Source organism: Homo sapiens, chromosome 6, assembly GCF_000001405.40.
Source record: "Homo sapiens chromosome 6, GRCh38.p14 Primary Assembly".
Lineage (NCBI taxonomy): Eukaryota > Metazoa > Chordata > Mammalia > Primates > Hominidae > Homo > Homo sapiens.
Genome location: NC_000006.12, coordinates 14,116,181 through 14,137,194, shown reverse-complemented (window position 1 = coordinate 14,137,194; position 21,014 = coordinate 14,116,181). Strand labels below are relative to the sequence as shown.

The window sequence follows — 21,014 nt, the reverse complement described above, 5'->3', positions numbered from 1 at the left end:
AATCTTGAGTGAAACCCATGAATCCAGGCACAAAGCCCCTGATGTTACACATCTTTCTGAAGCAGAAACCCTCCCTCCATCCCGCCCACCCATGACCGTGCATGTTAGTATGAGCTGCTCATGTACTGGGTAGCAACGTGGCCCCAGGATGGAAGCAGAAGCATCTCTGGGAAGGAGGATGCTGTTTACAAAGCTCTGTCTGCCAGCATGCCCTCCCTCCGAGAAAGACTCAGCCAATCTTTCAGCTCTCATTTTGGATTCTGATTCTCAAACTGGTTTACAACATCCTAGCACTCATCCCAAAGTCGGGATTTTTTTATTTGTATATGTTTTTTATTTTTAACTTTCATTTTAAGTTCATGGGTATAAGTGCAGGTTTGTTACATAGGTAAACTTACATCATGGGGGTTCATTGTACAGATTATGTAATCACCCAGGTATTAAGCCTAGTAACCATTACTCATTTTTCCTATCCCAAAGTCTTATGAGTTGAATATAAAACAGAAAAACACCCTTTCTTCACATGCATACGTTTAATAACATGAAAGCCAAGACAGAGGTAAAAACACTAAATCAACTTGGTATCCGTTTTACTCCCTAATATTAGGGGGACAGTGAACATATAACTCAAGCAATAAAATGCCTTTGGAAACCAAGAAGGGAAGGGCCCAAGTTTGATAAGGGAAAGCCAACAATGGCTAAAACATCCATGCAACACTTCGTGAAGTCCCTTCTGCCAGCGGCTCCCGTGTGTCCATATCTTGGAGTGTGTTAGGCTACTGCTTCAAGAACAGACCGTGGACCTGGCTTCCTCACTTCCCCAAAAGAATTCCTACAGAAGGCTACAGGAAAGGCTTCTTGGTAACCTTCTTTGTTTCAAACAATGGAAAACATGAGAAATGGATAGCACCCTCTCATCCCCAAAACACCATCATCATAGCAAGGATAATGACTCAATGGAGTTTCGAATCTGTATAGTGCTTTATATGTTTTCAAATAATTTTCACGTATATGATCTTCATTAGCCCATGCAACAGCCTTGTGGTTTACAATGGAGAAAGCAGACACCAGAAGGAACTTGCTCAAGATCATGCACCCAGATAGTGGGACAAGTGGGCGAGCACCCAGACTGCACCGTCAGCCCAGCATTTCCAGCCGGCCATTAAATAGCTCTCTATCTTGTCACCCTCTCTGACTTCTTCTCCCTCTCTATGTCCAGGCTGCCTGTCAGTTCACAATGCTATCTCACTACAGATACAGATTTCAAAAGCAGAAAAACACAAACCTTCTTTGACAAGTACATATAGATATAAAAATAAATGTGGCACTCTTCTTTATTGCTTCTTTATGGATGTCTTTCCCAGATGAAAAGACCCTGCTGGGGAATAGTTCATCGACTTGTTATTTCTTTGTACACAGATTACTCCTTAGTAATAGCAGGACCTTCACACCAGGAAATTATTTGCTAAATATTTCCCACTGTCTCACAGCTTGATCTGTCAATTTCTCCCAGACGTAAAACATCTGGGCTGGTACAGCAAAACACAGAAAATTCAAAGAGATGTCCCCAAGATGCAGAAGAGGACAGCTGTCCTCAGGAGTCTGTCACGGGCCAGCTGGGGGCATTCATATTTCCCAAGACCCTTTTCCAGCTGCATCTCACCATAGCTTTTATATGACTGAAAAAATGTCCAGGAGGTTGACCAGATAGCTGCATACATCGCTGAAAAGGTGGCCATGGAGAAGCAGCAGTGGCCTCATGCTATGTGGTCATGTGATGGTTTTCGAGGCCTGCCCACAGAAAATGGGGTGGGATCCCCTTCCAGATGTTTTCAGTGAGGTGAAGGACTTCACAGGATGCCATCTTCAGCGTAGGCTCATTCTTCTCTCCTCCAGTGTAACAGACAGGCACACCCCTGAGCCTCAGCTTCAGGAAGAAGAACCTGCAGAAATCCTGCTCATACCAGTTCTGTCTTGTGAGGAGTCACTAGCCCTAAATGCTTATTTGGGGAGGTAACTGGGAGAAAAGCTCGTTCCATGCCAGCTTTAGAAAAATCTGGGAAGATACTCTGTAGCCGTGCAAACTTCTAAAAAGAAATGAAAGAAATGTGAAGTGAATAATTGGAAAAATTCAGCAGTTGTCACCTCCTTTTAAACTCTATTCACTAAGAGCTGGCTAGACAACCCATTCTGGAAGCTCTCATACTCACTGCCTCACTCGCTCCACAAGGGATTTGTACCAACCATTTCACTGGCGTCTCTAAACTTGGACCAGGAGATTCACTGATTGTGGCCATTTCGACCCCCTACTGTTAGGTCTCTGTATGGAAAGTCAATGCCCACAGAAGCAGGCATTTTCCAACAAGAAGCTAAAGTCATTCATGTTTAAAACATACTGCCTGGTAACTCTAATTATCTTCTTATACGCAAATAACCCTAACATCCTAACTGTAAGCTCCTTGAGGGCAGGAACAATGTCTTACACCTTTTTATGCCCTGTACAGTGCCTAGCATAATGCCTTGAACATAGTAGGTGCTCACTGGAGTCTCTGATTGACTGGTATCTAAAATAGAAACCAGAGAGATGAGTGCACAGCCAGAGAGGCAAGTAAGTGAATAGAGGGACACAGTGAGTGGCAAGAACCAGTCCTGGGGTAGCTCCTGGGTGAAGTCTGTCCTGGCCCCTAGGTAGCCAGCCCTGCCTGGTGGATGGAGACAAAGGGGGCAGATCACTTCCTAGAGGGGTCAGACACACATGTGGCCCTACTCTCCCACAACCATCATCAACACAGGTGAGCAGCCATGCAGAAAGAATCTCTGAGGGCTTTGAGCCAGAACCTGCAACCAACAGCTCATGGGCATGTCTAGGGTGCCTGAGCACCGGCCAGCCATCCTGCACCCCGGAAGCCTCCCACTGTGCCTCACTGCTCTGGCTTCTTGGGATTAATTCTTAAGGCATGGGCAGAAATACCAAAAATAGAAGGGGAGAACCCCCACGAGAAATAGTTTGAAGGCAGCCAAAGGAGGCTGATCTATCCCCTGGCATCCCTGGGGCAGTGGGGCCCACTCCCTCACCCACAGGAAGAGCGGGGCCTCTGCTCTGGGATGGGGGACCCTCAGCGCTGCAACTTCTAGCACTGCGCCTACAGGGCCTCTGCTCTTGCATAGAACCCCTTGTCATTTCCCAAACGTCCTTCCTATATCTTACTTTGTTTTTTTTTTCCACAATGCTCTAAACGTAGCCACTAGACAAAAGCTGGAAATATTTCAGGGAGCTTCCTGTAATGATTCTCCCAGTCTAGGGGCCTCAAAAAGTCCAGGGTTCAAAGAATAATCTCTCTCACCATTATTAAATGATTCGCACTATCTGCAAGAGATACTTGGATTGGTGCCCTGGGTAATCTTTTAATAAGAGAAGATGTTTTAAGAAGATACTTACACAAGTGAAAATGATGAGTGTTAAGTAGAAAATAACCAGAGCCAGCAGCAGGACAATCTCCGCTCTGTATTTCTTAAAAGTCTCTTCTTTACGCTGTGCAGGGCATCCTTTAAAAAAGTAAGCGACATGTGAAGCCATTTTAACAGGATTTTTCTACCATGAAAAAAAGCTAAGAATGCTTTGTTCCTTGGTCCTGGAGTCCTGCTTGTCTCCTCTTCCCACCATCAGGATGAACGACAGTAACAGTGACAGTGAAGGTGACAGCAGCAGCCGGCGCGCACTGTCGCTCTGTGTCTGGCTGCATGCGACTCTCACATGGCATCTTTCCGAATCTTCAGAACAGGCCTGAGTAGTCCCATTTTACAGATGAAAGAGCCGAGGCTCAGAGAGGGTCAAGGACCAAGGACCAAGGCGGCTGAGCCAGACAGCTGGTCCAGGCTTATCCTGCGGCCTGTCTGCCTGCACTTCGGATGTCAAGCCTTTCCTGGCTTATTTTGTCCTCCTACCAGATGAACCACCACTTGTTAATCCAGAAATTATCTTAACTTCATCACTGTTGGGTAGACTGTGGTGTGTCCTCACCTCAGGAGGTTTCAGGGACTATGAAAGGAAGCAGGGGAGCTGCCCTGATATTGCCAAATACGTCAACAGATTTTTCTAGAATCATTCAAGCTCTTTCGGCAAGGGTGCCAGCATGGTTGGGTGGAAGAACAACTCCCTCAGGGCTGTTAAAGGGTTTGGTGCAGCACGAAGGGAGGGTAAGAGCAGCGAGGCCTTTAGCCCAGGGACAGACATGAAGGGAGGTGCCTCTCCCCACTCAGGTGCAACACCCAATGTGCTGTTTGGGGAAGCAAGTTGAGCTTTGGCTATAGTGTGCTTGCAAACAGAATCTGCTTGATGCCCCAGGCAGGAGCAGGTGGAGTGCAAGTGAGCGGAGGGGGTTCTGCCATTGGAGCCAATGGCTAGATCTCCAGAGATGTCAACCCCTGAAAATGGATTCGACATTTTGTGCAGCAGTCGAGGGATGGATTCTCACAGCCGTGGGTAATGAGAGCCATTGTCCTCATGGTCCCTAATATGTATTGGTCATTCAGTCTATCCCGGGCACTACACTCAGCATTTTAACGCAACTTCTCATTTAACCTTCACAACAAGCCTATGTTGTAGACGTTACTTCCATTTTAGAGATTAGAGAACTGAGGCTTAGTGTCAATCCGTGATTTGCTCAAGGTCACACACTAACAAAAGGCAGAGTTAATATTTGAGCCAGATCTAAGTGACTGTAGACTCTGACCCCTTAAGTTGTAGGCAATATCGCCATGGAAGAGGAAAAGGAGAGAAAATCAGCTATTCTCTTCATTTTCTCTCCACTCCCTGCAGGACATGCCTGCCCTCTCCACTCTCCTCTGCAAGGTTCCTCTCATTCAGGTGAATATTCATTGAGGGCCTACTATGTGCCCAGATACATCAGAGAAGAAAACGCAGAGGTTCTTGTTCTCTTGGGGAGACAGACAGTAAATCAATCCATACATAACATGCCAGTTGTACTAAGTACCAGGAAACAAAGAAACCAGGATGAAGGGCTGGAGATCCAGGAGGGCCTAAGGGAGGTGTGTGCATACAACACTAAGCAAAAAGCACACACTGCCCCCTTAAACAGGGACTGTACTCTTGCAGGTGTAATAATATTACCCGAAGTCCAATTCCTTTCAGATCCCTGACAGAAGGAGAAATCAACGGTTGTACGGAATCAGGGGCTCTGTGACCACATTTTTATCATTTCCACCCTCAGCCCCTAACAAGTGTTGGGCAAAAGTCAAACAAAAGGCATCATTTAAGCCACAGAAAGAGAAAATGGTGACATGCTTGCAGCGGATTTCCACTTTCAGCCACAGATGTGATCCAAAGCTCTAGAGCTACACTCCAAAAGAGAGGAACGATTTTAGGACCTAAAGGAAGTACACATGCATTGTTCAAGAAGAAAACAAGTGCAGCAGGTCACCTCACCTGTCACTCTCAAGATCACCTTGCCACTTAGGTTTCTCTGCCCATCCGGGTCCTGCAGAGTGCACCTGTATGTCCCCGAGTTGCAGCTGGTAGTGTTTCGGATCTTCAGGGAATAGGGCCTTTCATTGGGGGCGTCGAAAGAACCATTTTGCCCCTTCTGATGATAGTGCTGTCCCCTGAGGTGGTCTTCCTGGGGTGTCTCCATCCTCTCTTCACCACCCTCCAATAACTGTGAAGAAGGAATCAGAGCGCATCACGGTCCACTGCAAGCACTCCAACTCGACACCAATGTTTCCATTTTGTTTTCAGAAGATCCAGCCTCAACTTATGTTTGTAAAACAAGACGTGATGCTTTTGTGTGTGTGTGACCTCTGGGGGAGGAAAGATCTATGAAAATTCCCAAGGCTACATCTTCGGAATATATCAGGACTACATCTCATGATTCTATCATAAGTATCCCAATTTCCACCCTATATTAGGGAGAGAGAGTCACTGTTGATGACAGTGATATGCTGTGTGTGAATCTTGCTGGATTATATTTTGTGTCTATGTATACATGTATAGATAGGACTGTTCTGTATTAAATGTTCTCTTGTTTTCTTCAGATACCAACTCACCCACTGAATGATTCCTATTTTTGTATCCCAGCCTTTTATTTGGAAAAATTCCTAAATCTGTTATGATCCTTGCCAGACAATTCAACTAAAATCAGATAAGCAGATGAGCAACGCCTCCTGCGAACAGTCACCTTGTTCCTCAAGGGCTGTGTCTCTGTGTGGTCATGCCTGACGTCGCCGAATGTGCCACACCTTTTCTCTGTACTATGGCAGTGAGACAGCTGAGAAGCATGCTTTATAGAGAGTGTATGTGTCAGATCATTTGCTGCTCATATCAAACTCCACATGGAAGGGCAGTAACAGCTGACTTCACTGTACTCAGGACAGACCAGCCGGACTTGGGGAGATGCCCAATTTAGCCAGACATTTTATCTGGCTGGCTTTCTTTTTTTCTTTTTTGAGACAGGGTCTCGCTCTATCACCCAGGCTGGAGAGAACTGGCTTGATCATGGCTCACTGCACCCTTGGCCTCCTGAGTCAACCTTCTGGTACTCCCACCTCAGCCTCTCCAGTAGCTAGGACTAGAAGCCTGTGCCACCACACCTGGCTAATTTTTATTTGTTTGTTTTTTTAGAGGCAGTGTCTTGCTCTGTTGCCCAAGCTGGTCTTGAACTCCCAGACTCAAGCGATCCGCCCGCCTCGGCCTCCCAAAGTTCTGGGATTACAGGCGTGAGCCACCGTGCGCGGCTTGCTTTCTGTGAATTCTTTGTGATCAAACTGGTGGAGTGTCCACAGCATCTCCCACTGCATAGATTAGGCTCATACCACATTCACCATTAATTCTCTCTTTCCTAGACATATTTTTAATTTGCCTAATTAACTTGCTAAGTTGCTCCTCCATTGAAATACTTTAAAGCTTCTAAAATGAATGTACACATGCAGTAAAGCAAATCCTTGTTTTCAGCCTTCCTGGGCAGCCCTTCAACAATGACATCCCCTAGCAGCACCTGAGTTTCCCTTTGCTGGTTGGCTGGGGACCAGCAGGGAGCCCAGGATTAAGTGACATTCCTTACCTGTCCCTAGCATGATAACTGCACCCAAGAGCCACCTTAGGGAAGGAGACAGAGATTATCAGGGCCCACTGCCACTGTCTTTGCTTGCACCTATCAATGATGAATCTCCCGTTCTGGGAGCACCCTACAACTCTTCTCTGACTTTTAGGAAGGAACTCAGTGTAGGGAAAGAGATAACCAAGGAGTTAGGGGAATACTCTGAGAAGCAACTCAGGAAAGAAAATACATACACATGGGCACGTGTGCACTCGTATACACACACACACACACACACACACACACACAGTCATTTCTGCTTCATTTATTAATTCAGAGCATATACCACAAGGTCACCGGAAAGCTCAGGCTCCAGCCCTGGTGTTTGTGAGCATTCCTGTAGAGTGGGCTACAGAGACATCTGGTGGCAGATTGATCGCTCCTGCAAGAAAACCTGCTCAGCTCCCTCCCAGCCCTGAGCTGAGATGAACGGCTCTTCTCAGGCCGAGTCTGCGGACATAAATCCCATTTCTTGATGGTCCTTTTTGTGTGGAAAGATTCCTTCCTAAATAATCAAGAATCTATGGGAGGAAGCTAAAAGACTGGGGCCCATAGGTGTGCAAAAATAAAGCACAAAAAGGAGGTGGGGCCAAGGAAATTTAGAGGAAACTAACAGTGTCCATCTGATTCCAGAACACATCTAATTTAGCACCATTTTTCCCTTTTCAAGCCTAAGTAAACCATAAACTGAAGCCTCGTCATGGGCTCACACTGCTTGCCTCTCCCTTCCGCTGCCTGGCAGAGCGGCTTCTTCCTACCAGGCAAGGGCTTTCAAGAGACCAGAGACCGAGGCCCATCCAGGGCCAATCTGTGTCTAGGATGGCCTGAAAGGCCAGTTTGAAATAATTAGCTCGGCCCAGTCCCTGCAGTCCCCATTCCGATGTCCAATCTTGCTTTTCTTTTTCTAAATTAACCTCCAAATGCGAGTGTAGCTGCAACAACCGTTTTGAGATTATTCACCCATGGTTTTCTCCTGGGAAGCTCCTCTCCCATCCAGCAACCCCTCCCTCAGCTCAGAAAGGCCCATCTGAAAGTCAAGATCAACACTGTGAACCCCTCTGGAGCTGGTAGAAACATAAACTATTGTGTCTATTTACATAAAGATGGCCCCATTATTGTGTTAGCTGCTGGGAACTGTTGAAGCAAAAAGGTGCTGGTGATCAAAACTGGCTGGCAGTAACTTCTGCCTATTTGCAGAGAATTCATTTTAAAAATCAGCAGCAACACCAATAAAATTTATTTGACGGTTAGATTTCCAAGGGCCTCTGGCAAAACCGTCAGTGGGCCGCTAGTTATTTTTAAATGGCAAAACAAAGGCAGGGTGAGCCATAAGAACAGAAGGAAGAATCAAGGGAGAAGGCAAAACAAAGAACCTCAAAGCGACCTGCAGAATTCTGATGTGCTGCCACCAGTGGGATCATGGCAAAATATCTCAACTCTCACAGGGTCATCTTCCAAACACCCCTTTTCCTAAATGACCCAGAGAACTATCCGCAAAACCTAGGAACTCTTGCCAAACCAATGAACAGCGCTGTTTGCCTAATAACTAACTACAGCAAAAAGAATTCCCTGTAAATTCATACATTGCACCTGGAAATATTTCATAACCCTCCCTCTAACTTCCAGTTTTAGGTATATACATTTTCAGCTAAACTTTCTCTTGTGACCCCCAGCTGTGGAATTTGGGGTTTATCCACAGCTGCAAAAGGCGTGGTAGTTTTTATGTTAATGTTGCATGCTCAGAATGGGGGTGGGGCCCTAGCAGGATCAAGGGACCGTATGCAAAAGCTCATATCATTATCATCAGATACGTGGCCAGGCAGCTATCACCCTGCTTTATCAGATGAGCTAACTGTGGCAGAGGCACCACCAAAAACTGGAGGGAAATTTCAGTGGGAGGAAAACGGAGTAACAGCAAATGGGCCATCCCCACTTTGCTTTGTTTTATGAGTTCTCATAAACATTGGAGCTCACTCAAAATCAACCACTGGCAAGAACAGCTCTTTAAACATTCCAAATCTAAAAGTGTTCCATTGCTTCTCTGCAAAACCATTTTAGGAAATAGTAATTTATAACAAAAGGAACCCTCAGATTCATTCACAGCCAACCATAATTGACAGGAACTATTTAATGCACGCTTCACAATGCTAATATTGTAGTACAGTGCGCTAAAGCACAACACAATTTCAGCAAATTAATTACTCAAAACACTCATCCCAATCATGTTTTAAAAATCCACATGTTGTACATTAACTTTTATGCTGACAACTCTATCATTTTTGGTTGGGCTGGAAAAGTGCAAACGTGGGACATCTCATTTTCAGAAAGCCTGGGGACTCTGACTTGTCTCAAGGCCTCCAATTTGACTAAATTATTTAAATACCATATTCTTTCTCTCAAATGGAGATTTGACCTTAAGGAAAGCACAGGCCCTAAATTAAAACAAACTCTCTTTCATTTGCAGAATGCTAAATCAAGCAAACACAAGTACTAATTGTATGGGCACGTGAATGGAGTCAGTTTTTTTTTTTTAATGATGAACTAATTTGAACTAAAACAAAAGACATAAAATAAATCATTAATTATGGCTGAAACTGAACCAATATTAAAACATCCTATTGTGGAAAGTGTTTTTTTTTAAGTTTACATAATTTTATCCAAATATATGCCAACCTCCTACATTACCATATTTGAAGCTAAGAGGGCAATAGTTTCATTTTATAGCAAAAAAAGAGTTTTGATCACAAAATTGAAATCTAAATTTATCATATAGCAGATTTGTTAAGAATGCAGGGCCAGGCACGGTGGCTCATGCCTGTAATCCCAGCACTTTGGGAGGCTGAGGCAGGTGGATCACATGAGGTCAGGAGTTCAAGACCAGCCTTGCCAACATGGTGAAACCACATCTCCACCACAAATACAAAATATTAGCTGGGCGTGGTAGTGGACATCTGTAATTCCAGCTACTTGGGAGGCTGAGGCAGGAGAATCGCTTGAACCCAGGAGGCGAAGGTTGCAGTGAGCCAAGATTGTGCCATTGCGCTCCAGCCTGGGTGACAGAGCATGACTCCGTCTTAAAAAAAAATAAAAAAATAAAAGCAGGGGTGGGGGGAATGTGCAATAGGTACCTACCTAAAAGAAAAAAAAACAGTATAAAAATTTCATCTAATAATTTGATAAAACATATTTAAGGGTATAGATTGTAAGGATTTAAAGTTGGTATTAAATTAATCTGATGTATTCCAACCACATTGAGCAGCTTTTTTTATCGCATTTCTTGTGCACTAACATTCATGTACCTTGGTTTCTAACTCAATTAAAGTGCCAATATAATTCCCATTCATCATAAAAACAGCTCTTTATAATGTGCAAAATAGTTTGGCTCAGAGGTTGATGTCATAATGAGGGTAGAATGTATGAGCATTAATATCTTTTTTTCTATGCGTAGTTTTATTAGAAAAATGATTTTCTACTTTGAAATTTACTGGGTCTAACAGACAGAGCTGGATTTATGGCTGTTAACAGAGTTATGAGTATAGCAGAGGCAACATAATTAAGAGCACAGGCATTGGCATTGGACTGAGCTGGAACCAAACCCCAGCCCTCCCACGGCTACCTCTGCTCTTGGCCAACTGACTGAACCACTCTCAGGCTTGGATAGCTCCACTGGAATCTGGGGGTGATCACATCTCACTGAGCTGGCGTGAAGATACTTATGATGATGTATACAGACCCTAAGCATCATATCGATCACACAGAAAGCCCTGAAGATGTTACTACTCTCTCTCTCTCCTTTTTTTTATAACCAAGGTTTCATTCTGCATACTAAATAGTTCCCTGAATATAAGACGTATTGAAAAAGTATTTACTGAATGAATGCGTGAATTTTAGAAAGAGTGAGAAAGTTACAAGAGCACTAGCTTTGGAATCAAAGGTCTGAAGTCAATCCCAGTTTCTCCATGTGTTAGCTGGGTCATCTTCCATATGTCACTTCACCTCTGAGCCCCATTTCGTGATCTGGAGCTCCCTTACTTGCTCATGGGGTTATTATAAAATCAAGTGAGAAAACAAGAAAAGTGCTGTATAATTGGTAATGCTGGTAATAGAAATTATTCTTGTCTGTGATAGCTTTCCACACCATCCACCCACTCTGTCATTTCCTTACCACTGACACTTCCCGTCTCCTCTGGGAAAGTTGTCCTAGAAGTCCCAATCTCTGCTCTAGGGAGAAACTGTTTTTTCCACATATGATGTCTTCAAAATATCCACAACATTCTGTATTTTTTAAAGCACCATCATAATAATGTATCAAAACCCCTTTGGAACTGAGATTTGAAGGCAATGTTGGACCCTTCATTGTTCATGCCAATCATCTCTCTTCTATTAGCATCCCGTGGGGCCTGCTGGACCTGGAAGAGGTACCATTACAAGCTCTGAGTTCATGTCCTCTGAAGAACTCCACACCTAGGTTCTAGAGGAGGCAACTTAACTCAGGCCTGGTACCCCACGATCATGGAGACTGGCTCTGATAGGCACGTGACCCAGTCAAAGTCCCTTGAGAATAATCAGACATAAGTTGAGATATTTGAAGAGAAACACAACCTTCTCCTTTGCACTTGCTTCTGGAAGGATATACAGGTTGAGCATCCCTAATCCAAAAATCTGAAACACTTCTGCTCCCAGGCATTTCAGATAAAGGATGTGCAACTTGTCCAACTCTGTAGTTACTGGCTGTGATCTGGCTGCTATGTAGAGGTTGGACACAGAACCAATGTAAAGGAAGGCAGAGTTGACAGATGGAAAGTCACCAAGTCCTGGGGACATTCATGAACCTCTAAGCCTAGCTATATTCATTTGCCAGGGCTGCAGAGCACCACAAACTGGGTGGCTGAAACAATAGAAATGTATTCTCTCACAGTTCAGGAGGCCAGAAGTCCAAAATCAAGGTGTTGCCAGGGCCAAGCTCTCTGAAGGCTTTAGGGGAGAATCTGTTCTGTGCCTTTCTCTTAGCTTCTAGTGGTTGCCAGCAGTCCTCGGCGTTGCTTGGCTTGTAGACACATCACTCCAATCCCTGTGTCTGTCTTCAAATAGCTTTCTCCCTGTTGTCTGTGTCAGTGTGTGTTTTCTCCTATCAGGACATCATTCATACTGAAGTAGGGCCCACCCTAGTCAGGTAGCACCTCATCTCAATTTGATTACATTTGCAAAGACTCTATTTCAAAATAAAGTCACAATCACAAGCATCAGAAATTAGAACTTCTGATCTTTTGGGGGGGGCACAATTCAAGCCACAACGCCATCCATAACTGAAATGTGAACTGTATTTTGATTTTTCAATTTTTTCCCATTCCAATTATATATAAGCCAATATATTTCCTTCTCTTTAGGCTAGTTTTGATTGGATTTACAATCCCTCACAACTGAAAGACTCCTAATGATAAGGCACCCCGCACCACCATGTAAATAAGGTTGGTACGTAGGGGGCTATTGGCACATGGCTCCAGCCTCGAGGCCAGTCCTGCTTTGTCCCCTGGGCTTACATGCCTCCCACTCCTTGGGGAATGAGACCTCAAGGCCTGATTTGAATCAGAACCTCTGTTCTCCAGAACTGCTGGTCCAAGGTGATTATGAACTGTTTATGGAAACCAGCATCCTTCTTTTCCTAAAGGTTTTCCCTATGTGGACCCATAATCCTAGGCAGCTACCAGCTCTTCTAGAATCGGTAACCTCAATTCTATCGGTAATACCGATTCTAATCGGTAACCCCGAGGACTGCTGGCAACCACTGGAAGCTAAGAACTGGAACACTTCTCCAAATTGTCCCAATTTGGGATATGCAGTAGACTGGTCCTCCAAGAAAGCATCAAGTGATATTAACAAGCCTTGGGCTCCCAAGTCTGTACTAGTCCCACATGACACACACGGAAATTTTACCCAAATACACCTCAGTGCAAAACAAAACAAAATGAAAAACAAAAACATGCTTATGAGTATAAAAGAATCTTAGGGAAGTATTTTCTGCCCAGCTCTATTTTGAGCTAATGATTGTTGATACAAAATTTAGGGTTATTCCAGGAGTAGCCAGGAAGGGATTACGGAAACATCTTTAGAGGGAGGAAACTTTTTTTAGGTAATCAATCTGCTTTTAGTCTTGCCCTACATAAAACTTTCCCTTATGTCACTGAGACCTTCTCCAAACTTCCTCTTCTTTGTGTAGTGACATTGCCAAGTACGTAGCTAAGACAATCCAGTCCTCATGTGACTCAGGTTCCCCCTTTTATTAATGGAAAACAAGTTGGTTTTTTTGTTTAGCTTTTTTTTTTTTTTTTTTCAATTTAACTCTCAGCTGCTTTCTTCCTCCCTCCCCATTATCAAGCTAAAAGATTTTGGCAACTTGTGCTCTGTTCCACTATTGTCCAAAAATCTCAGTGATCCACCATTCTCATCTAGATGAGACTTCTTCTATAGCCACTCAGAGGCGGCCTCATTCTTCCTTGCCCACTCCTCCGCAGAACTACATGGACAGGACTGGTGACCAAGAGGAAAAGAAGGAAAAGAATGAAGTCTCCCTCTGAGACTCATCTTCTAAGATGAATCATATTCTATCCAACACCAGGAGAAATATGCTTTGCTTTAGGCATATTTTGCATTATGCCATTGTCTTTGCTTAAAATCCTTCAGTGAGGCCGGGCGTGGTGGCTTACGCCTGTAATCCCAGCACTTTGGGAGGCTGAGGCAGGTGGATCACCTGAGGTCAGGAGCTCGAGACCAGCCTGGCCAACATGGTGAAACCCTGTCTCTACTAAAAATACAAAAAAGTAGCCGGGCATGGTGGTGGGCACCTGTAATCCCAGCTACTCAGGAGGCTAAGGCAGGGGAATCGCTTGAACCTTGGAAGAGGGGGTTGCAGTGAGCTGAGATCACACCACAGTATTCCAGCCTGGGCGACAAGAGCAAAACTCTGTCTCAAAAAAAAAAAAAACAAAAACAAACAAACAAACAAAAAATCCTTCAATGGCTCCTTACTGCCAAAAGGATAAAGGTCAAGTCATTGTTGCTGGGCATTCAAGGCCCCTCACAATCTGTCTCTAGCCTACTTTCTAATGTTATCTCTCAGCCATATCTGCTGTTTAAGTCTCCCTTCTACATCACTGGTTACCTCAATGGTTCCCAAAAAGTCTTAGTGGATTCCCAGGCCTTTGCTCAAGATGGTCCTCTGGCAAAAGTTCTACATTGATCCTGAGATGGCCAATGCCAGGCCCAGGATGGGGCACACATTTGGGACTTAGAAGTATCTACTAAACAATGAAAGTGTAAATATGAGAGACATCTGAAAAGCAACTTTACATCTTTCATGGTTTGACCTAGGGAGGAGCCCATAAAAGTGATTCAACCAGGTCAAGTACTATAGGTGCCAATGGGGACAGTACGATTTTTTTTTTTTAATTCTAACATACATTGTTTTCATAATTCAATGGTTCTACATTTAATGTAGAAATGTTTCCTTTTTGTCCTAAAACATGTTCTTAAATCCACCTTACAACAGAATCATTCTGGAATCAAGGAAGCACAGTAAGTGTTCAGTACTGGCTCCTTCCATGGGCTATGAAGGTCTCTGGCTGTACAGATTACATCTGCCCCAACCGCTTATCAACTCTAGGCCCTCCTAAGGCACTCTGCTCTCCTCAGTATCCCTGGTTTTGTAGCTCATTATCACACAAGATGGTAGAGACAGAAAACATAACTCCACCAAAAAGAAGTTTAGCAACATACACGGAAGACAGCCTTGAACTTTTGAAGTGGCCTCACGCAAGCCATTAACCTGCTCTCCAACAGTTTCCTTAGTGTTAATGTCAGAAGCAGAACACTCCATGGATGGCCCATGATCTGCCCCAGCTGGGGCTCTTCTCAATATTATAAAGTCTATTTATAGTAGACTTTTATATGAAGTCACACTCTTACTTCCCTTTTCTCCCTTCCTTTGGAAATCATCTGAAAAGGGCACTTGTCTTGTGATGCTTCACTCTCCTCACCCCCGCAGCATCACCCAGAGATGACACCATATATCCTCTTTCGTTTTGCATCACCCATAGGCTGTCAGGGCTCCTAGCATGATACAAGAAGGCATTGCAACTCTGGGATAAATGATCACTCATTACTATCTTTAGTGATTATCAACCAGGCCCAAAGTACTCCAACCAAAGTCATCCTCTCTCTCCAAACCTACATTAAAGAGAGTGTAGACACAGCGACGCTTTTCATGAAGTCCACATGCAGCCCTTTAATGCATGGCTTTACTCCTCACAGACATGATATTGTGCTATGCCCTTTTATGCTGGAATTTAATCACAGGTCATGGCCAGTGGAAGAAAAGTCATGGATCAAAGTCTATTTGCATATTTTCTCAAAATACCTCCTCAAAGAACCACATCTATTACAACTTTTTTTTTTTTTTTTTTTTTTTTTGGTAGAGACAGGTCTCACTGCATTGCCCAGGCTGGCCTCAAACTCCTGGGCTCAAGTGATCCTCCCATCTTCGCCTCCCAAAATGCTGGGATTACAGGCATAAGCCTCAGCCACCACACCCAGTCTATTACAACTTTAAAAGATAAATCGATTGGCTCATGCCTGTAATCCTAGCACTTTGGGAGGCTGAAGTGGGAGGATGGCTTGAGCTCAGGAGTTGGAGACCAGCCTGGGCAATGTATTGAAATCTTGTCCCTACAAAAAATTAAAAACATAAAAATTAGCCAGGTGTGGTGGTACGCCCTTGTAGTCTCAGCTACTTGGGAGGCTGAGGTGGGAGGATTACTCGAGCCCAGGAAGTCGAGGCTGCAGTGAGCCATCTTCATGCCACTGTACTCCAGCTTGGGAAACAGGGTGACACTCTGTCTCAAAAAATAAACATAAAGCTAAATTGAGCTACTATCCTAATGAATATAATGTATTAACTTTTCTATTTCTTCTCAATCACCCATTATGCCTTAAAAAGTATAAGGGAGGAAGGGATGAGAAGAGGACCCTTTGTTGGATCCCAGTTAAGAGGACATGGTCCATAGAAGAGAAGAGCTGGGCCAACAGGAATTGGGATATCTCTGTCCACTTTTGGCTTCACCTTTAGCCTCTTGCACATGTGTCTATTAAGTCCCCTCTAGCCCATCTCACTGCATCTTTGAAACAGAGAGAACAGAATGAACACTCTTCCTTCCCAACCCTAATGTTGCAAACAGATTGGATGCTGTCTGTTTTGAGTTTTCTGGTCAAAGGCATATGATAAAAAACACATGGTTTACATGGGTCCTTTTGTTAATTACAAGTATCAGTGCCAAATGGACAAAGGCAAGATGCTACATGGTGCCGGAGGATTGAGTGGTGAATAGAATTTTAAATTGTGAGTCATTATAACCATACTTATGATATGCAGACAGCCTGCAGAATGTGCTTCAATCTGGTGGATGGTGAAAACCCACTGCAAGGGACTCTGCTTTCCTTGCCCAGTATGAAGCCCCCTCCTAAGCTGGCAAAACAGGTTTTACAAAGCCAGGGTAGTGATGATGAAGTGAGTAGGATGGGATAAGCTGGTTCTGGTTACCAAAATGAAATTCCTCCCTTTGTGGCTACCCCTCCACTTTGATGAAACATTTTACAAGAAACTTATAGAAAAATGACCAGATGCTTAACATTCTGTAAAATGAAGTATTTTGGCATTTCACCACTGGCCTTGTCTCCAGAACACTCTATCCATTTTTGTTGTATAAGCATAATCAATGAAAAAGTATAATTATTGGGCTGGAAAATAATAAGTATCTACAGAACATGCTGAGAGCTGTTTTAAAAAAAATGCTTAAAGGAACAATATATGTCACTTTCGAGGCACCTGATTCGTTTATTGGTATAGCATAACTCTCCTACCCACGAATCTCAATCACCATTTACTTCTCAAAAAATAACTACGGTATGACTTTTCATTGGCACTATTCCATGGATCAACAGGAAAAAAAGAACGCCTAGAGACTGCTGTCCCTTTTTTTCTTGACAGAGCTTTCAAAGACCTTGGGGGTAAATCTCGCAAGAATTCTGTCCAATAAACAAGCTCATGCGTTACCGAGTTACGTCACCAGCTGACATCCAAGGAGAAGTCCAAGGTTAATTGCTATGGTTTAGTGGACCATTCCAAATGACCCTGTGCAAGAAGCTTTCACTCCAGAACTGTTTGAACTTCACAGCCTGAAATTTCATCTACTTGTTTCATGAGTACTTTTTAATTACTCCCCTGGGGGTATTAATAATGTTTTCTTTATTAAATAGTTACTCTCTGGAAGGGATAGTGGTTTCATGTTTTTCCCCGTTCTTTGAGATAACTAAGTCCCTGCCTGGTTAGCCCAGGGGCACTTTGATTTTCTTTATCTTAAGTTATTAAGGGAGAAAACAGAGATCAAGATAGACCTCTAACAACTCAGGATTTGGAATCAGACTGCTTCGTTCAAATCCCAACTCCACCATTTAGCTAGCTGTGCAAAAGTGGACAAGTTATTTCCCTCCCTAAGGCTCAGTTTCCTCACCTGTAAAGTAGGAATAGTAACAGTACTAATCCCTAAGTCCATTCTTCCGATGGATGGAAATGGATAATGTATGTAAATATTTACCTTGGAGCTTGGCACGTGGTGAGCATTCAAAAATTGTTTTTACAATATTTTTAAAAATACTATTGTTTTGACTATGAGAACAATTTCGGAATTGTTGTGTTCTCTGATCCCACAGTAAGTAAGGTACCAATGAAGTAGGAATATTTAACACCTTACTTTTATACACAATACAATGCTCTGAGGCAGCAGCACCATCCCCGTCATGCATAACTCATGAAGTGCTGGGCTGAATTCACAGAGCACCTTTGCAATTTATAGGGCAAAAATTAGGTGCCGTGAAGAATACACAGAAGTATGGATACAGCCACTGCCCCCCAGGGAACTGACCATCCAGTTAGGAGACACACACACAAAGAGATCACCGCAATGATGCCTTGTACTGTTAAGTGGCCAAAGACGTACAGTTTCTTATAGTATCTTTTATGGTGGGCAGAAGAACGCCCTGCATTTTGGGGAAAGCTACAAGTGCAGAGATTTGCCCCCGTGGTAAGACAGCAAATCAGTGAGAGCTACAGAGTAAGGTTGTAATATCATATTCATTTGGGTTAAAATGGAGGTGCTGTGGTAGCAGTGGCCTGACTTAAAGAAGGACCAGTGATATCAAACAGTAGCTGCTTGGCTTTGGAATGACACCATCATTGCCATCTTAGAATCTGAGAATGTTTCAGTCAAGAGGAAACCTTGAAAAAGCCTCCTTGTCACTCAGTCCACTTACAGTAGGAGCAGCAAGGCCTGTTCTTACACATGCGGGCTCCGGCTCATGCATCCACCTGATGCTCTCAAGGCTGCCAGAGGAAGGAGGAGGAGGGCTAGGGGAGGAAGCCAAGGGTATCCCACAAAGGAGATGACCACTGATAACTACCATGGATGAAATGGCCTAAGTCACTTCTGTGTCTTAGCCTTTCCTTTCAAATTGCCCCCTCCCCCTCCCATGTATCATGGGCATCACAGTCACAAAACACAAGAAATCAGAAGTCTGGAGACATTCCCCCTGTCCAATGCCCAAATCTAGGTCCCTGTTGCTTTCTTCCTGACCTGCTGGCCCACAACCACAGGTGGCCTCCAGAATTAATCCAAATGAGAGTCTCTGCCCTTCCAAAACATCTTAAGTGGATCATTCATCTCAGGCCACCTTCAGTGACAGGAAGGGGATTGAGGTCTGCGGAGAGCAAAACCTAATTCGGCCCTGTACCTGGATGCGGATGGGGTGGGGGAGGCGCGACGGGAGGCTGGGTACTCCAAGTTCAGCTGCGGGAGACGCCCCTCGCCCCCACCTGGCAGCCACAGAGGGTCGCCAGCCTAGGGGAGATGGTTCCTGCTGTCTTCAAATGAGCCCACCAAACCCCAGCCCGTGGGTATCGCAGCACCTACCTTGACCCAGGAGACCGTGTAGGGAACCTGCGGATCCCAGGGGGCGGTGCAGGGCAAGTCCACATCTTCGGAGCAAGCCACCTTCACCTCCGGCGTCGCGGGAGCCAGGCTGTAGGCTACAAGAAAGAGAGAGCGCGTCGTGAGCAAGCGACCGACGGGAGGGGGTGTCGTGGAGGGGCGGGGGGCGACAGGCGAGACAGGCGCTCGCGAGCCCTACCGCAGCTCAGGAGCAGAAGCTGGAGGCCGCGCGACATGGCTGGAGCGCTGCGCCGCTGCCACGAGCTGCAGAGCTGTGGCGCGCGGGCGCCGGCTGCCCTTTTATGCCCGCGCGTTCGGGAACTTCCCTGCGCGCCAGCCCGGGGGATTCCCCGGCGGGCAGCGGAAGCGGGTGGCGCGCCCTCCTAGTCCCGCTTAGGCCGGGGCGCCCCCGTCCCCGCCCCCTTCGCCCCCGTCCCCGCCCCCGTCCCCGCCCCCGTCGCACCCGCCGCCCTCGCCGCGTGCGCGTCCCCGCCCCCGCGCGCCCGGGCCGGGCGCCCCGAGTTCGCGTCGCTGCTGCGGCTGGCAGCGGCGACAGCAATCCCCGCGTGACGCCCAGCGCTGGGGGCTTTGCAGACCGCGCTCGCGCGCGTGACGCTGCCGTTGACCCGCAAAAGGAAGCCGGGAACCGGGCCATCCGAGCGGGATCTGCCCATTTTACGGAGGCCAAACCAGATTCCGAGAGGGTGGGCAACTTCCTCAGAAGCCCAGCCTGTCCTTGGGAACGCACTGGTGAACCCAAGTCCTCACTCTTCTCCAGAATCTGTGATAATCAAAGGCGCGTTAGATTTCCATGGAAACATACAAGTCTGTAGTACTTGGCTCCCTGCCTTCCCCGGGAGGTTATCAGTCAGTACCGTCCTGTTTAAATTATATCACCAAAGGAGAGTGTCTCCTATTAAAATAATAATTACACGCATACACAACATTTTTGGAAAAGAAAATTCTAGAAGACAATGAAATCACCTGTAATTCATCCAGGAAGTAACTTCAGTTAACATTTTTTTATATTATAAAATGTTTATAACATAACATAACGTAAAATATTTATAACATTTGTCAGTGCACAGATTGGTATTTTTAATGGTTTATTCTTCCTGCTATCTTGTAACCTACTTTCTTTTAGCTTAATAATTTGCAAGCGGTTCCACATCATTAAAAACTTCCAACAGCATCATTTTGGTCCATTGTTCAGTTGCACCATAAATTAGAATCGATTAGTGTTAGACATACAGGTTGTTTCTTTTTGTATTACTAATATTAGAAACAATACTGTGATTGCTATGGGAAACTTCAGTGTAGATAAATCTTTGCTCTAAAATTGCTTATTTTCTTAGAATAAATACCTCAAGGAAATTGTGCTAGGTGAAGGGGAGTTTCCAATTTTGTCAAATATTGCCAAAAAATTACCTGCAAGGAGGTGTCTTCAATCTATATTCCCATCTGCAAAGAGAGTGCCTGTTTGCCAACACAAACTGTTATCCAACCTTTCTATCTTTGTCCATCCAAGAGGTTAAAAAGAGTGGCATCACTATACCACCAGTTCTAATCTGCTCTTGGAAGTAGTTATATCAATTGACAGTCCCGCCAGCTTGTGTGAGTACCTTTTCTCCAGCAGCCTCACCAAATTAATTTTTTAATTGTGAAAATGTTAAGCATACAAAATAAGTATAGAAAATATGGAATTGAACACATCTGTATACAATTTATTCTTGAGAAATAAAACAGTACTAACATTTTCGAGACCCTCTTTTTTTTTTTTTTTTTTTTTTTTTGAGACGGAGTCTCGATCTGTCTCCCAGGCTGGAGTGCAGTGGCCGTGATCTGAGCTTACTGCAAGCTCCGCCTC

General features: G+C 44.7%; 1 protein-coding gene across 3 annotated transcripts, besides 14 other annotated features; it reads right to left on the bottom strand.

Annotated features, from left to right (window-relative positions):
- On the bottom strand, nucleotides 277-19,939 carry CD83 (CD83 molecule). Of its 3 annotated transcripts, none has more exons than NM_001251901.1 (5): nucleotides 19,896-19,939; nucleotides 19,130-19,245; nucleotides 5,447-5,675; nucleotides 3,440-3,546; nucleotides 277-2,087 (listed from the first exon to the last, which is right to left on the bottom strand). In NM_001251901.1, exons 3-5 carry the CDS (start codon nucleotides 5,649-5,651, stop codon nucleotides 1,959-1,961), a joined length of 441 nt encoding a protein of 146 aa, NP_001238830.1. In that variant the 5' UTR covers nucleotides 5,652-5,675; nucleotides 19,130-19,245; nucleotides 19,896-19,939; the 3' UTR covers nucleotides 277-1,958. The 3 variants fall into 3 exon arrangements, with proteins under 3 accessions (NP_001238830.1, NP_004224.1, NP_001035370.1); NM_004233.4 differs by lacking the exon at nucleotides 19,896-19,939 and adding an exon at nucleotides 19,347-19,423 and having other exon boundaries at nucleotides 289-2,087; NM_001040280.3 differs by lacking the exon at nucleotides 19,896-19,939 and adding an exon at nucleotides 19,347-19,423 and having other exon boundaries at nucleotides 312-2,084.
- Nucleotides 7,374-7,423: an enhancer, noted in NCBI's record as "active region_24048". NCBI's record gives its function as "activates an Ori minimal core promoter by ATAC-STARR-seq in GM12878 lymphoblastoid cells {active_cell/tissue: GM12878}" and the evidence as "EXISTENCE:reporter gene assay evidence [ECO:0000049][PMID:35858748]".
- Nucleotides 8,054-8,652: an enhancer, noted in NCBI's record as "H3K27ac-H3K4me1 hESC enhancer chr6:14128774-14129372 (GRCh37/hg19 assembly coordinates)". NCBI's record gives its function as "activates a minimal SCP1, AML or CMV promoter by ChIP-STARR-seq in naive H9 embryonic stem cells {active_cell/tissue: H9 hESC(naive)}" and the evidence as "EXISTENCE:reporter gene assay evidence [ECO:0000049][PMID:30033119]".
- Nucleotides 14,921-15,250: an enhancer, noted in NCBI's record as "active region_24047". NCBI's record gives its function as "activates an Ori minimal core promoter by ATAC-STARR-seq in GM12878 lymphoblastoid cells {active_cell/tissue: GM12878}" and the evidence as "EXISTENCE:reporter gene assay evidence [ECO:0000049][PMID:35858748]".
- Nucleotides 15,271-15,330: an enhancer, noted in NCBI's record as "active region_24046". NCBI's record gives its function as "activates an Ori minimal core promoter by ATAC-STARR-seq in GM12878 lymphoblastoid cells {active_cell/tissue: GM12878}" and the evidence as "EXISTENCE:reporter gene assay evidence [ECO:0000049][PMID:35858748]".
- Nucleotides 18,094-18,920: a transcriptional cis regulatory region, noted in NCBI's record as "chr6:14118506-14119332 region (GRCh37/hg19 assembly coordinates) targeted for CRISPR interference". NCBI's record gives its function as "positively regulates CD83 gene expression in GM12878 lymphoblastoid cells {active_cell/tissue: GM12878}" and the evidence as "EXISTENCE:mutant phenotype evidence [ECO:0000015][PMID:33828297]".
- Nucleotides 18,094-18,991: a biological region, named in NCBI's record as "CRISPRi-FlowFISH-validated CD83 regulatory elements GRCh37_chr6:14118435-14118935 to GRCh37_chr6:14118800-14119300". NCBI's record gives its function as "regulatory_interactions: CD83".
- Nucleotides 18,126-18,626: a transcriptional cis regulatory region, noted in NCBI's record as "chr6:14118800-14119300 region (GRCh37/hg19 assembly coordinates) targeted for CRISPR interference". NCBI's record gives its function as "positively regulates CD83 gene expression in Jurkat T cells {active_cell/tissue: Jurkat}" and the evidence as "EXISTENCE:mutant phenotype evidence [ECO:0000015][PMID:33828297]".
- Nucleotides 18,491-18,991: a transcriptional cis regulatory region, noted in NCBI's record as "chr6:14118435-14118935 region (GRCh37/hg19 assembly coordinates) targeted for CRISPR interference". NCBI's record gives its function as "positively regulates CD83 gene expression in anti-CD3- and PMA-stimulated Jurkat T cells {active_cell/tissue: Jurkat(+anti-CD3 and PMA for 4hr)}" and the evidence as "EXISTENCE:mutant phenotype evidence [ECO:0000015][PMID:33828297]".
- Nucleotides 18,996-19,812: a transcriptional cis regulatory region, noted in NCBI's record as "chr6:14117614-14118430 region (GRCh37/hg19 assembly coordinates) targeted for CRISPR interference". NCBI's record gives its function as "positively regulates CD83 gene expression in GM12878 lymphoblastoid cells {active_cell/tissue: GM12878}" and the evidence as "EXISTENCE:mutant phenotype evidence [ECO:0000015][PMID:33828297]".
- Nucleotides 18,996-20,097: a biological region, named in NCBI's record as "CRISPRi-FlowFISH-validated CD83 regulatory elements GRCh37_chr6:14117366-14118274 to GRCh37_chr6:14117614-14118430". NCBI's record gives its function as "regulatory_interactions: CD83".
- Nucleotides 19,152-20,060: a transcriptional cis regulatory region, noted in NCBI's record as "chr6:14117366-14118274 region (GRCh37/hg19 assembly coordinates) targeted for CRISPR interference". NCBI's record gives its function as "positively regulates CD83 gene expression in Jurkat T cells {active_cell/tissue: Jurkat}" and the evidence as "EXISTENCE:mutant phenotype evidence [ECO:0000015][PMID:33828297]".
- Nucleotides 19,157-19,812: a transcriptional cis regulatory region, noted in NCBI's record as "chr6:14117614-14118269 region (GRCh37/hg19 assembly coordinates) targeted for CRISPR interference". NCBI's record gives its function as "positively regulates CD83 gene expression in anti-CD3- and PMA-stimulated Jurkat T cells {active_cell/tissue: Jurkat(+anti-CD3 and PMA for 4hr)}" and the evidence as "EXISTENCE:mutant phenotype evidence [ECO:0000015][PMID:33828297]".
- Nucleotides 19,556-19,675: a silencer, noted in NCBI's record as "silent region_16942". NCBI's record gives its function as "represses an Ori minimal core promoter by ATAC-STARR-seq in GM12878 lymphoblastoid cells {active_cell/tissue: GM12878}" and the evidence as "EXISTENCE:reporter gene assay evidence [ECO:0000049][PMID:35858748]".
- Nucleotides 19,803-20,097: a silencer, noted in NCBI's record as "tiled region #13983; K562 Repressive DNase unmatched - State 1:Tss". NCBI's record gives its function as "represses a minimal TATA promoter and a strong SV40 promoter by Sharpr-MPRA in K562 cells {active_cell/tissue: K562}" and the evidence as "EXISTENCE:reporter gene assay evidence [ECO:0000049][PMID:27701403]".